The 14,470-nt window shown below is 40.2% G+C and overlaps 1 protein-coding gene and 1 long non-coding RNA gene across 3 annotated transcripts in view; one reads left to right on the top strand and one right to left on the bottom strand.

Moving 5' to 3' along the window:
- Nucleotides 1-14,470, bottom strand: part of RARB (retinoic acid receptor beta) — a 768,612-nt gene that overhangs the window by 205,498 nt on the left and 548,644 nt on the right. The window lies entirely within an intron of this gene.
- Nucleotides 7,508-9,330, top strand: RARB-AS1 (RARB antisense RNA 1). Its single transcript, NR_134933.1, has 2 exons — nucleotides 7,508-7,789; nucleotides 9,056-9,330. It is a non-coding gene; the product is annotated as an RARB antisense RNA 1 (long non-coding RNA).

Here is a 14,470-nt window from a genome sequence, read left to right as displayed (position 1 = left end):
TCATCATTCTTCACACAACTAAAATATACAATCTTAAAATTCATATGGAACCAAAAAAAAAGCCCACATAGCCAAAGCCAGATGAAGCAAAAACAACAAATCTGGAGGCATCACATTACCTGATTTCAAACAATACTATAAGGCTATGGTCATCAAAACAGCATGGTACTGGTATAAAAGTAGGCACATAGACCAATGGAACAAAATGGAGAACTCAGAAATAAAGACAAATACTTACAGCCAATTGATCTTTGACAAAGCAAACAAAAGCAAAGTGGGGAAAGGACACCCTATTCATCAAATGGTGCTAAGAAAATTGGCAAGCCACATGCAGAAGAATGAAACTGGATCCTGATCTCTCACTTCATACAAAAATCAACTCAAGATGGATTAAGGACTTAAATCTAAGACCTGGAACGATAAAAATTCTAGAAGATAACATCAGAAAAACCATTCTAGACATTGGCTTAGGCAAAGACTTCATGTCCAAGAATTCAAAAGCAAATGCAATAAAAACAAAGATAAATAGATGAGACTTAATTAAACTAAAAAGCTTCTGCACAGCAAAAGAAATAACCAGCAGAATTAACAGAACACCCACCGAGTGGGAGAAAATCTTCATCATCTATCCATCCAACAAAGGACTAATGTCCAGAATCTACAAAGAACTCAAACAAATCAGCGAGAAAAAACAGACAATCCCATCAAAAAGTGGGCTAAGGACATAAATAGACAATTCTCAAAAGAAGATATACAAATGGCCAACAAACATATGAAAAAATGCCCCACATCACTAATTTTCAGGGCAATAGAAATCAAAACCTCAATGTGATACCATCTTACTTCTGCAAGAATCATAATTAAAACATAAAAATAGTAGATGCTGGTATGGATGTGGCAAAAAGGGAACACTTTTGCACTGCTATTGGGAATGTAAACTAGTACAACCACTATGAAAGACAGTGTGGAGATTCCTTAAAGAACTAAAAGTAGATCTATTATTTGATGCAGCAATCCCACTATTGAGTATTTACCTAGAGGAAAAGAAGTCATTATATGAAAAAGCCACTTGCACATGCATGTTTACAGCAACACAATTCACAACTGCAAAAATATGGAACCAGCCCAAATGCCCATAAGACAATGAGTAGATAAAGAAAATATGGTATATATACCATGGAATACTACTCAGCCATAAAAAAGGAATGAAATAATGGCATTTACAGAAACCTGGATGGAGTTTGAGACCATTACTCTAAGTGAAGTCACTCTGGAATGGAAAACCAAACATTGTATATTCTCACTTATAAGTAGGAGCTATGCTATGAGGACACCAAGGCATAAGAATGATACAATAAACTTTGGGGACCTGGGGGAAAGGTTGGGGCGTGTGAGGGATGAAAGATTTCACATTGCGAACAGTGTGCACTGCTTGGGTGACGGGTGCACCAAAATCTCGGAAATCACCACTAAGAACTTATTCATGTAACCAAACACCGCCTGTTCCCCCAAAACCTATTGAAATTAAAACAAAAATTATCAAAGTTATTATTGTTTTACTGTAAAGTACCAGGAAAAGTCAAACTACTTTAGACATACAGGGCTTAGGAGGGTTCTGGGCATCTAATAAGAGCTGAATAAATATTTGTTGATGGAAGCAAGCAGGTTGAAAGTTTATTAGGCATGTGATGAAATATCCCAAAAGAGTAATTTTTAACTGTTTCCTTTGATGACAGCTTTTATTACTGTGAAGCCCAAACTTGATAAATATGATAGGATATGCATTTGGTTATTCTATTTGAATAGATTTCCACTACATATTTAAAAACCTGTACTATTATTTTTTGAAGAGAAAAAAATGAACGGGTCTTCTAATATTCACACAGCTACCTTTGGTGTTTTTATATCCCACAGGCTGTCGTTCACCCAGTCTTAGTCCATTTGGGCTGCTATAACAAAATACGTTAGACTGGGTAATTTATGAGCAACAGAAATTTATTGCTCATAATTCTGGAGACTGGGAAGTCCCAGATCAAGGTGTTGGCAGATCCAGTGTCCGGTGAGGACTTCTTCCTCGTAAATAGAGTCTTCTCTGTGTCCTCACATGGTAGAAAAGGTCCACAAGCTTCCTGGTCAAATTCTCAAACTCCCAGGGTCAAGCAATCCTCCCTCCTCAGCTTCCTGAGTAGCTGGGGGCTACAGGCATGCACCACAGCACCTGGCTTTCAGGCCTCTTTTATAAGGGTGCGAATTCCATTCATAAGGGCCCTATCCTCACAATCTAAACACCTCCTAAAAGTCCCACCTCTTAATGTCATCATATCGGTGATTAAGTTTCAACATATGAATTTTGGGGTGATACAAACATTCAGACAACAGCACTCGATAAGATAAATAACCTCAGCCCCTTCAAATTTATCTTTCCGCCAGCCTTGTTTTACCTCTTGAGCCACGACCAATCCAAACTTATGTCTCCTTACCACCTGTCTTGGAACCTTTTGCTATCTACATCACTACTCTTCCCCATTTGGTTGACTTTTGTTCAAGACTCAAATATTATTACCCTTTCTTTTAGACATTTTCAGGCTAATGCTCTTTTCCCTTGTGCCCCAATGCACTTCAAAGATAACTAGTTATTTTAATTATTTCTATGCACACAGGTGCACTTTCTATTAGTGTGAATTTTGAGAGAGCAGATATTCATACATTCTATTGATTTTTAGGTCCATAGCAAATAAGCCCTGTACTGAAGACAGAAGGGATGCTCAGTAAATACTTGTAAAATTAATGAATGGAAAACCAAGGCTTCTCATTCCCCCAACACCCAGTTCTCTGCGCTGGCCCTCTACTCTTATAAGTACTATGATAACTTCCTATGTGCCAAGCAGAGCTGACCAGCATGTATTACTGTAGTTTAATGTCACAGCAACACCGCTGAGTTGGTCCTATTGCTGGCACCCTTTTACTGATGAGGAAATTGAGACTTGAGAGACATTTAGTTACTTCCTCAAAGTCACACAGCTAGTCAGTGACAGATATCCCTCAAATGATGGTGCTGTGGAAAAATGAGGGAAGAAACATGTGACAAAATGGACCTTGTTGGGTAAAAGCCACAATACCCACAGCAATGTACACTAATGCTATCACTAAAGAAGCAGCAGAATAATCCAAAATGATTACCATCTAAAAAAAGGAAGGTAAGGTTGTGGGTGACCTGATGTGTCACCCAATCAACTCTGGTACTTGGAATTCCATCAAGAAAACGGACAGATTGTTTCTGCCACCTCCCCAGAAACCTCTTCCACAGGCTCTGCATGTGGAAATATATCCTTTAGCCAACTTAAATGTGGCATGCTGCTCTCTGAGCTCCACATATATTATGAAGCTATTTTCATCATCTTCCTTTTCCTTCTTTCTTGCAACCGGCATTATGTTTCTGTCCTCTATTGTATTCAAAAGGATGTGTTTCTATTCAATGAAACAGATCAGTGGCATTTTCTACCACTAAATCATAAATCTCTCTCCTCTTACAACTTTGAAGAAAAACCTAGTAACATTCAAAACAGTTTCTAGATTTTTTTTTAATACCTAGAAATTCACTGAGAAACAAGATAGAAAAAAAGCCTTCCTACCTACCCCACACACTTGTGAACATTTACAACACCATCATTGTTTAGGTTGAGTTCGATTCACTTTTGTCAGCAGGCTTCCCTTGTACAGTTAAACTACTTTCTTATGCTAAGCTCTCTGTGAATTGTCACAATGGTAGACAAAAAATTCTGTATCAAATACTACTTAATTTTAAGCATTTCTTTCTGCTAATTTATTACTAAGCACAAATTTCATTTTGCCAGGGCAAAAAAACAATTTCTTTGTTTCATGTTGAAAACAGTTTTTCAAATAAATTCTGATGGTACACTTATCAAGTCCACTTATCTTTCATTAAACTAATGCTTTCAAGCATAATGAAGAATGAACTGGAAAACTAAGTATATTGTAATGCTCTGATATTAAAGAAGACATATCAAAATAAATTTACAATCATATCATCACATCAATCTCTACTATGACTATAATAGTCTTATAACCATAATTAATTAGCTATGGTACAAATTACTAATAAATCTTTAGAAATTAAATGCCTAATTTTTCAAAACCATATGTCTTTGTAAATTGATTATTTAGAATTTAGAGGCTTTTTAATTAAGAAGAAATTTATGCAATGCTGTATGTAATAATTAGGAATCAGCTTTTCTGCAATACTTTTGAACATCAGCAAAAAATTAAAGCTTTGGAAAATAGTCTGAGTTAATTATAGTATTTCACTGTCAAAAATCAACATATAGGTAAAATTTAGAGGTTAATGTGGCATTTCCATTTCTTTAACTTCCACCTAGCCTTATGTTCTTAGTGCTTGAATCACTAACCGAATCCAAAAATCAATGAGACGGGGGAAGTCTCCTTAGTGATTTATGCCTCTAAGAAAGTTTTCATTTTATCCAATAGTTTCAGCAAACCTCATCAATCCAGGTTAAACATTTAATGCTCTTTTTTTTTTTTCTATTCCCTAAGGATAAAGCTGGGATATTTCTGAGCCTTGCCATCATTTTTGGTAAGTGATTATTTTGACATAAAACACAAAAGCTGCTTTGTCAGGAGGGTGGGAACGCCATTTAGGGTCGAACAAAGACATTGCTGAAGTGAGACCTCATTATGTGTGTGGTCAAAAGACCCCAAGAGATGGGGAGAGGACCTGATGGTGAGCCACTTTACACTCACAGGGGCCTGCTGAGAGTGGATTTCAAAGCCAAGGCCCTCCTGTGTCCAGAAGACTCGTGGGGAGGGAGCCTGGGACATATCTTATTCTGCCTACACTAGAGAAAGTTGTGGAAGATACTACAAATAAGAGAAGAATACTATAAAAAACAGAAGGAATGATTGCGTACACAACATAGAAGCCAGTTTTTTCTCCTTTTTGCTTCAACTCCTCCCCACTTCGGTTCTCTGAATACAGCCTAGCCAATGTGTTTCCTACCCATAAGGTGCTGTAGGAAAGAGGGTGATCTGGGTAAAATTCACCTTTGTTCCTCTACACACTTCCCATTATGTCTTCTTTTTGAATTTATTTTCTTCAATAAAGACCCGGATCCTCATTCTCCCAAACAAAGCCAGTGTCCTCCTGTCCATCCAGGAAACAGAATTTTTCTTCCCTGATGGCTCCAAAAGGAATTAAGCCACTGTTTTCTCCTGCTGGGTTTCTGTTGTGCATCTTCAAGCCATTTCTTCATCTGAAGGTCTTCCGGCAAACTCACTAAACCTCTTGAGCACATGACTCAAGAGTGACAATTGCTAACAGATGCATTTCTACATTTGTATTCTGGCAGAACTGGTCTTAAATTATTGCTCACAGGAGAAAGGAAGAGCAACTGTAGCACCTCTGTTCACTGTTGCTGGCAGACAACAAACTTGAGATGAAGCCACATTTGCAGGGGAAAAATTGCCTACGCCCACAGAATGAAATTTCAGGCTTTGACAGTTGCTAGGTAAGTAAATGAGAATCATTTTATTCTGGGTGAACACAGCACCTAGCACATCTTGAACAATAAGAAGAGTTGGCAGCCCAAGGGCGGTGACACCCAAGATGGTACATGTTCAGAAGAGTCTCTTGGGAGGAAATATGTGGAACTAGTGGCCAAACAATCGCCCCCTTATCAAAGCATGGTTCCTCATAATCTTAAGTAGAAGGTACAACTCCTCTCAAAGGGAACCTCAGAAAATGACTTTAATTCTCCCATTTTAATTCAACAAATATTGCACCGACTCTGAAGAAGCCCTATATGAAGGCCCAAGGCCTCCGCCTGAATCCAGGATACTTTCATCTCATGCCTGAATGCTTTTAACAACCTCTCGAGTAGTTTTGTGACTTCAGTCTTTGCCCTGCAGCCAGAAAAGCAAAAACAAAAACAAACCTTTCTAAAAAGCTACTTTTTTCCTTCTTATAAAATCGTTCAATAACTCCACCTACCATCAGGAACAATCCCACTTCTTGACATAGACTTACAAGGCCCTCCCATGCTAGCTCCTGTTAACCTTTCCAACTTCATTTCTCAGCGTGACCCACCCCTCTCCACCCCAGCCTCTATGCCTTTGAGAGGTTGTTCCCTTTCCCCACCCTTCCCTTTCCACTTTTCTGGCCAACCTTTACGTTTCAGCTTTAACCTCTCCTTTCCCCAGGAAGCCTTCTCTGACTTCTCAAGTGGGTTAGATGCCCTCTTTCTGTGGTTCCACAGCTCTGTTTGTGTCCCTGGTGTATCTTTATCAGACTATATTGCCTGTTCGTGTTCTGTCTCTGGATCCTTCAAGGTTACAAGGGACAGAAACTCAGCTCAAATCAGCTTAAGCTAAAGAGGAAATGTGCTGGATCCTGGGTAAGCTCACGGACTGACGGAAATGCCAAACAAACAAGCTTGAGGAAAGCAGAAACTGGGGCCCCTCCCAGATCTCTGGATTCTGCATTAGGGCTTTAAGCACTGATCACGGTGTATCTGTGAGAGTTCTGATTGCTCCTTCTTAGGTCACGTGCTTGCCTAGACTAAGAACCGTGGCCCTGGTTTAGGAAAGATACAAGATAGAGAATCCCACTCAGAACACTTTTCAAGCCCTTGGGTAACAGAAAGGGAATGAAGGAGAACAGAAGGAGCGTAGGGCAGGCTGGTATGTAGATCACCTATTGCTGCAAAACTAACAATCAGAAAACCTCAGTGGCAAACAGCAATATATATATATATATTTTAAATGCAATTGCAGGAGGTCAACTAATACAGACTTGATGGCTTTGCTTTAATCTGAAGGTCTGGCTGAGCCAGGATCCTCGTGGTAGGGGAAACTGAGGCTTACTCCAGGGATGCTCATTTGGGGGCCTCCGACTGAAGGAGAAATGTCACCTTTTCATTGTCTGTGTCTTGTCCAGTAGCTGACATGTAGGACAGGTGCCTCATAAAAGTGAATTTAATAAATGAGTAATCACACCCAGTGTCCAATAAACTTCCTCTTTAGCTGAGCTGATGGGTGAGTTTCTGTCCCTTGAACCCTTGAAGGATCCAGAGACCAAACACGAACAGGCAATATAGTCTGATAAAGACATACCAGGGACACAAAGGGGGCTGTATTGTCCTTTCTGTGGATCTTTGGCAAATAGACAAGTCAGGAAAAAGTGCTTGAGACAAAGGGAATAGTCTGAATCTTGTGTAACAGAGAGAGGGCACATCTTAAAATGGCTATGTGACTAGAATATATGGAGTGCATTGCAAACTACAGGGCTAAGATGATAAAGAGAGGACAAGTGTGGAGGGAGGAGTGTACGCTTTATTCTGCCTTTAAGTATCTACTACGGCCATGGGGGTACAACTCAATGTATGACCTCATATAAGAGTTTATGATGCATTTATGACAAAACAGACTGTAGGTGCCATCCAGAGTGGAATAATTTGGAACCAGTACACCTATACAAATTTTTATTATTAGCTGGCTATGAAGGAAAGAAATGCACTTAATTGGGTAAACAGTTTATTTCTTATCTTCTTTTAAGCTTTCTGAACGAACAGAATTTGGCTAGCTGGTTTTCTACCCTTGAAAGCATAAAGAAGGTTGGACTGTCTGAAAATACTCTTTTCTGGGAGTATGTTCGTAGACAACTGAAATAAACTGCAACTCACTGGTGCCAAATATATCACACATCAGCCCACCTCCTGCCACGGTGAGCTTGTAGCAGAGAAAAGAATGTTCTCAGGTGAGGAGGATGTCAGCCTCATTCTAGAGAAAGAGAAGCCAGTCCTGCATGTGGGTGTGATTTCAAAGCTAGAGTTCTGATGCTACAAAGAAAAAAAGGGCTGAGGAACAGGTCCCTCCCCTCCTGTCCCCAGGGATGCAGGGCCATCACCATCTATACCTTTTCATTTTAAAGATAGGAGTTGAGAGTCCAGTTTATAATTCTAAACACAAGCCTTTTGCCCAATATAGAGGACAACTCTCATTGTTATTCTACATGCTGCTCATATTCCACCCTATCGGTTAATAGGAAATAACAACAATAAATAAAGCTTGCTCTTAGGAGAGAGGGAGGGAGGGATGAAGAGACAATGAAGGGAGAAAGAGAAGGAAGGAAGGAGACATTATACTGACTTTTCAGATAAAAGCCAGACAACTAGTTAACAACTGCCATGTAGTAATGGGGCGGGGCTCTACTGGGGTGCAGGGGCTCATGGACCCCCAGAGCATTCTAATCAGACATGCTAGATATTTGACAGAAAAGTGGATTCTGTTTGATGGTTTGTTTCAAGAAGTTAAGGGGACAGAAGTTAAATTATGTTTCTGTTTTTTTCTTCTTCCAAATGAAACTCACTCTAAACACCCAACTAAAAAATGATCTTACAGATCTGTGTAGTCTAATACCTATGTACATGTTGCTATTCAAATTTAAAATTAAAAACCTTTTTTTTTTTTTTGAGACAAAGTCTCACTCTTGTCCCCCAGGTTGGAGTGCAATGGCGTGAACTCAGCTCACTGCAACCTCCGCCTTCCAGGTTCAAGCAATTCTCCTGCCTCAGCCTCCCGAGTAGCTGGGATTACAGGTGCCTGCCACCACGCCTGGCTAAGTTTTGTATTTTTTAAATAGAGACGGGGTTTCACCATGTTGGCCAGACTGGTCGTGAACTCCTGACCTCAGATGATCCGCTCGCCTCGGCCTCCCAAAGTGCTGGGATTACAGGCGTGAGCCACCGTGCCCAGCCAATTAAAAACTTAATTTAAAAAATTAAATTAAAAAAATGTAGCTCTTTAGTGGTTACCATATGAGATAACATAAATATAGAACATTTGCATCATCATACAAAGTTATATTGGACAGCAGTGCAGATGCTGATGGTGACCATTCTCTAACATTGCTCAGCCTCCTAGTTCTACCAACTTGAAATCTGGGAAAATATTGGAGGATAGCAAAGGCTATCAATACAGGGGCTGCCAAATCTAATAAGCAAATCATCTTTTCATTTCTTAGGTTCAGAAAGGGGCTTCCCTGCTGAGGAGCCATGCTCTTTCCACGATGAAGAACTAGAGACCGTCTTGTGCAGTGGGCTGGCAGAGAGGAGCCACACAGTGAAGTGTAAATTGCTCAGGATCACAATTCAGAGGACATGGGTTCTCACCTTGGCTCTATGACTCATTTTGTGCCTTTCACCCCTACAATCTCTCCGAACCTCAGTCTCTGAATGAATGAAATGAGACTGACCAAACCAATCTGGCTAAATATAAAGGTATAACATCCTGATCAAACACAGGAATTTGTACTTGCATAGTAGATGCATCAATAGCATACCTTTGGGACATTATTGCTCTTAGGTGCTATTGTTAACAACGGGCCTCCTAATCTAGATGTTCTCACTCTAGTTCTTCCATGAGGATTTCTGGGAAGTTTGCCTATGAGGGAAAGTTATGACCCACGATCTACTGTTGCTTTGGGAAGTCTTCAGCAGCTGGTGCCAGCTGTGTTATCCTGATACTTTTTTTTGTTTATTTGTTTGAGATGGAGTCTTGGTCTGTCACCCAGGCTGGAGTGCCGTGGCATGATCTCAGCTCACTGCAACCTCTGCCTCCAGGGTTCAAACAATTCTCCTGCCTCAGCCTCCCGAGTAGCTGGGATTACAGGTGCACACCGCCACACCCGGCTAATTCTTTTGTATTTTTAGTAGAGATGGGGCTTCACCATGTTGGCCAGGCTGGTCTTGAACTCCTGACCTCAGGTGATCCGCCTGCCTTGGCCTCCCAAAGTGCTGGGATTACAGGCAGGAGCCACCGCACCCAGCCTCCTGAAACATTTCATAAGAGAGGTATACGTAATCCTCTGCCATATTTAGCAGAGAGTTTCACAGGTTCTGTGAATTACCTGGTGCTCTTCAGGACATAGGCAATGCCACAAATATCACACCCATGGATGAGGCTACCCAGTCCATGTCCCTGCAGGGGAAATTCTCCCACCATCCCAGAGCCTCCAAAGGAGCACACAGTGATTTGCCCTAAAGAGTATCAACTTTGAAAGTTTGTAAACATGCCTCAAAGGAGACAATTTGAAAATTCTAAACACAGGTCATTGAACATTTATTGCTAGTTGTCCTGATTATTTTGAGAGGTGAAAAGCACTCATGTTTAAATCTACATTTGGATCATCTAGTCTTGCCTACCTATTCCATGAGAATAAAGAACATCTCTTTGTTTTAATGTGTCTTCACCTATTATATGCTTTTGGACTCCTACTCTTTGAGCCCAAAGAAACAAGCAATTCCCTTCTGGGGCCAAAAAAAGACATGATATGATGCTAATGTTCCTCAGTTAGAATATTGCTATCTTGCACCCTACTCAAGCTACTTCGAAGATGACAACGTGGACTTTACAATGGCTCGGGGTGTTGCTGGTGGTAGTGGTGAGGGATTGAGATGGAGACGGCTACATTCTATATTCTGAATGCAGCTTGAGAGTAGAGAGGGGATATCCACACCACAGTGGTAGTTCTCAAGCATTAGCATCATCAGAATCACTTGAAGGGTTTGTTAAAACTCAAATTTCCTGGCCCACCCTCCAGGTTTCTCATTCAGTTGACCAGGGGTAGGGCAGAGATAGGGCCTGAGAATTTGCATTTCTAACAGATTCCCAGGTAATGCTGATGCTGCTGGTCCAAGGACTCAACCTTGAGAATTGTGGCTTTAGGACCTTTTCAAGCTTCATTCCATATGCACACATGCAAGGGGAAATGCATTTCTCAAAACATCTGTTTCCTTAAATGTGATGCCAACTTGAGTGACCAAAGCAAATGATAACAGCTAATACGTGCATAGCTCTTACTGTGTTCTAGGCACTGTTCTAAGTGCTTAAATATACTAACAGATTTAACCCTCGCAAAAATTGTATAAAGGTTATATTATATTATCTTTATTTGACAAATGTGATCCGGAGAAGTAACTTTCCTAAGGTTACACAGCTAAAGTGTGCACTAGGGTTGGTGCGGGAACACAGGAAGTCTGGCACCAGAGTCTACAGCCACTGTACTACATTGCCTCTCCCTTCAACCCCCTTTCTTTTCCCACATTATCCTCATCCCTGGGCTAATGACAACATTCCTTTCAGAGAGTCCTCCTTGGGAGCCTCCCTTAAATGGGATGTTAACAACCTCAAGGCTGTCTGACGTTAGCCTTGGTCAAGTTTATTTTTAATACCTAGTAACTATAACAGAGCACAGTTTCTCATTTGCCTATACCCTGTCATTTTGGGAGTATCCTTGATTCAATAATTATTATTTTACAAGGAATGCAGAAAGACTTGACAAATAGAAAAACGGAAGCCTGAGTGAAGGAAGAGAAACAATAAACAGGAAAGAGAAAATAATAAAGCAATAGGAAGAACGGTAAAAATAACCAGATGGAAAGGTCGAGGTAGATAAAATGCAGGAGATAAGGATGGGAGAGAAAAATATAAAAACTAAACATGCATGACAAAATAGCTAAAGTCCAAGTAGATGTCATACTGAGAAAATAGAAATATAAAACCTAAGCACAAAACCAGTCACGATGAGTGAATAGAGGACATGAGAAGAGGAGGAAATTAGCAGGGGGAGGGAGACGAAAGATGCTACTAATTGGGTTTTGAACTCCAGTTGCTATAATTGGGCATTTAAGCTATATCAACATTCTTCTTCATCTTTAGAATATTTCGCAATCTTTTAAAATACAGGAAACGCCATTTGATTTTGTCCAAACTCTGGCCACTCAAATCCTGGTTGCTTGTTTATTTTTTTTCTTGAGCAAGAAAAGTTTCACTAAGGGTTGGCATGCAGGATAAATCTTTTGGAGGAAAGAGGGGGAAATAATTCAATAGGAAGGAAAGATTCATTATGACAAGGGCTGGGTCAGGGAAATGGTCACATAACTGCATTCCTGAAAGCAAGTCCTGCTAAAAAACTAAACCTGAGTTAAGGCTGTTTGCTCTGCCCTGGGATCGAGTTGGGGTCACTCTGGAGGCCAGTCACAGAGCCTGAGACTCTGAACGTTCTGTTTTAGATTAAGAGCTGGGTTCACCCAACGGGTACGGAGTGGGAAAGAGGATGGACGATGTCAGCTCTAGTCTGAGGGCTGGCGTCCTGCATGCGAGGATCCTGTCACTCTGGGACCTCCTTAGGAGTTGGTTGTTCCATTAAACGGGGCACAGGAGGCCAGCCTTCACTGTTTATTCTTTCCCTTTCCCATTAGTTGTCAGATTTTTCTCTTTACATTTCTATTATGATATAATAGGAAATTCTTGGGTTTTAAAATGGTATGCTTGCAAAATGTATTATCTTTCCCTCAAAACGAGTTCTTATCCAGTCCAACATGAATTTTCCAGTCATGCAGCTTACACAGTCATTCTTTCTGCAGTCTTTCAGAATCTCTCCTCTGGGGATACACCTCCCTCTTCCCACAGTTCCCTTGACCCCCAAGGAAAGTTATCTGAGGGGCTATATTATTAAATTTCATGGAATCTAAGACACAACTGGGTATGAAAAAGAGGCACCATTAACTCATGCGCCACTAAGAAAGAAAAAGTCTTCATTCTAAGATATGCCATTAGCTATGAGATATACCTCAATTTGAGAGATGTTATAATGTAAAATAAACAATGTCTCAGATCTACAAAATGTGACATCTTCTCTATTTGACTGTAATCTCCCTGAGAGTAGCAACTGTGCCCTAGTTCTTTACCCCCTAACCTCTCCAAGGCAAATAGCTCTTTGTATTTTCCAAGTGTACTTGCTGACAACTCTGACTGCATTAAGTATGTGTATATATGTGTGTAGTGTTTGATCACACATTTGCATAGCACGTTATAACCATTTTATCCTTAAATCTTCCTAGGAAATTCAAGAAAGGGACAGGCACTGCTTTTCTTGTTTACAGATGATCAGCCTGAAGCTTAGAGACATAATCTGACATACCCATGGCACTAGGTCACCAGTAAGAGTTGAAATTAGGACCTTCAGTTAAGTGTGAGTCTAGTAATTTTTTTTTGTTTCCATGTTCAAGAAATAGTAGAAAGATGTGGACTCCTCACCTCCTACTCTAGCTCCTGAGAAAAACCCTGCATTTGATTAGAAAATAACAAATGTTTCCATGCCCTAGTATGCTCTGGCATGGGGTTCCTTATTTCATCTCTGTGGCAGCTACCTGTCAACGTGTGATGCTTGGAGCTGAGGGTGGGGAGTTTGTACACACCAAGGCTATCTAAACAGACCATTAAGTGGTAGTAAAGTAACACATGTGAATGACAGGTCAATAAATCCCCAACAACTTATGTTGCCTGCAAGAAGCTGGCTGTTGCCGAGTGTTGTTATGTTTACATAAAATCAATTTTACAAGCAATCTTAAATAATTAGGGAAGATGCCATCACACAGAGGATATTCTACATTCACTGTAATAGCTCTGGCATTCATCTCATTGATCCCTTTTGTCTGATATTATGTGCAGGTTTTTTTCCTCTCAAGCTGCTATCTTCCCTGATAGCTTCTTTATGAAATACTGAAATACTACCTCATAAGAAACCAAGACACACATTCTTATCAGTATTTTACAGACCAAAGACCTTGAAGTTACCTATTAGCTGAGTCTTCCTGAAGCTCAGCTTTATATGTGTTTTCCTTTAATTCTCTAATCTCAAGCCCTTAAAACATTTGGAGACGGATAAATTGGTGTAGTGGGTAGGTACCATAGATACTAAACATAAAAGTTTGAGAAAAAATTAAAACCGTGTTGGGTTTTATGATGATAGCAGAGAACATACAGAGGAATGTAGGTTTCTCTCTCAATCTTCTAGCCTTCTGGATGATGCCGATTTATCCTTTACAAAGTTTAAATAGAATAGATTTTTTTGTTGTTGTTGAAAGCAAATGTCCATTAATGATACATTGTAGGGGTATAGGATGAAGCCAATGGTCCCACTGGGGACAAAATTTCCTTTAGGGCCTCCTAGACCAGGGATTTACAAACCAGAGGCAGAGGCATCACGCCACTTCAGCTGTCCCATCAGGTAGAAGGGAGCCACTCTGCTGGTGACTGTAGAGCCATAAATCCTCATTTACCATGGAACACTGTGGCTTCCATCTGTTTCCTAAAGTGCCTATATAAACTAAGTCTTTGTAAACCATCTGCAAAATACCCTCGTGCATGCATGCCCGAGTCTTGTGCTAATGCAATGTGGTGATTTTGCAACTTCAAATAAGGTTCATTTTAATTGTCATTGTTAAGATCAAATGCTTTGCAGCTGTCTCTCTCCTACAGATGAAAAACATAACTTTGATGGCTAATATGATGAACTCTTATGTTCCATTTTCATCTAAATTGCTACACTTCAGTGCCTGTGTCTACTAAGTGCCTAACAAATATTTTTGAATTT

Source organism: Homo sapiens, chromosome 3 (genome assembly GCF_000001405.40).
Source record: "Homo sapiens chromosome 3, GRCh38.p14 Primary Assembly".
Classification (NCBI taxonomy): domain Eukaryota; kingdom Metazoa; phylum Chordata; class Mammalia; order Primates; family Hominidae; genus Homo; species Homo sapiens.
This window is presented reverse-complemented; position numbering and strand designations above follow the sequence as displayed.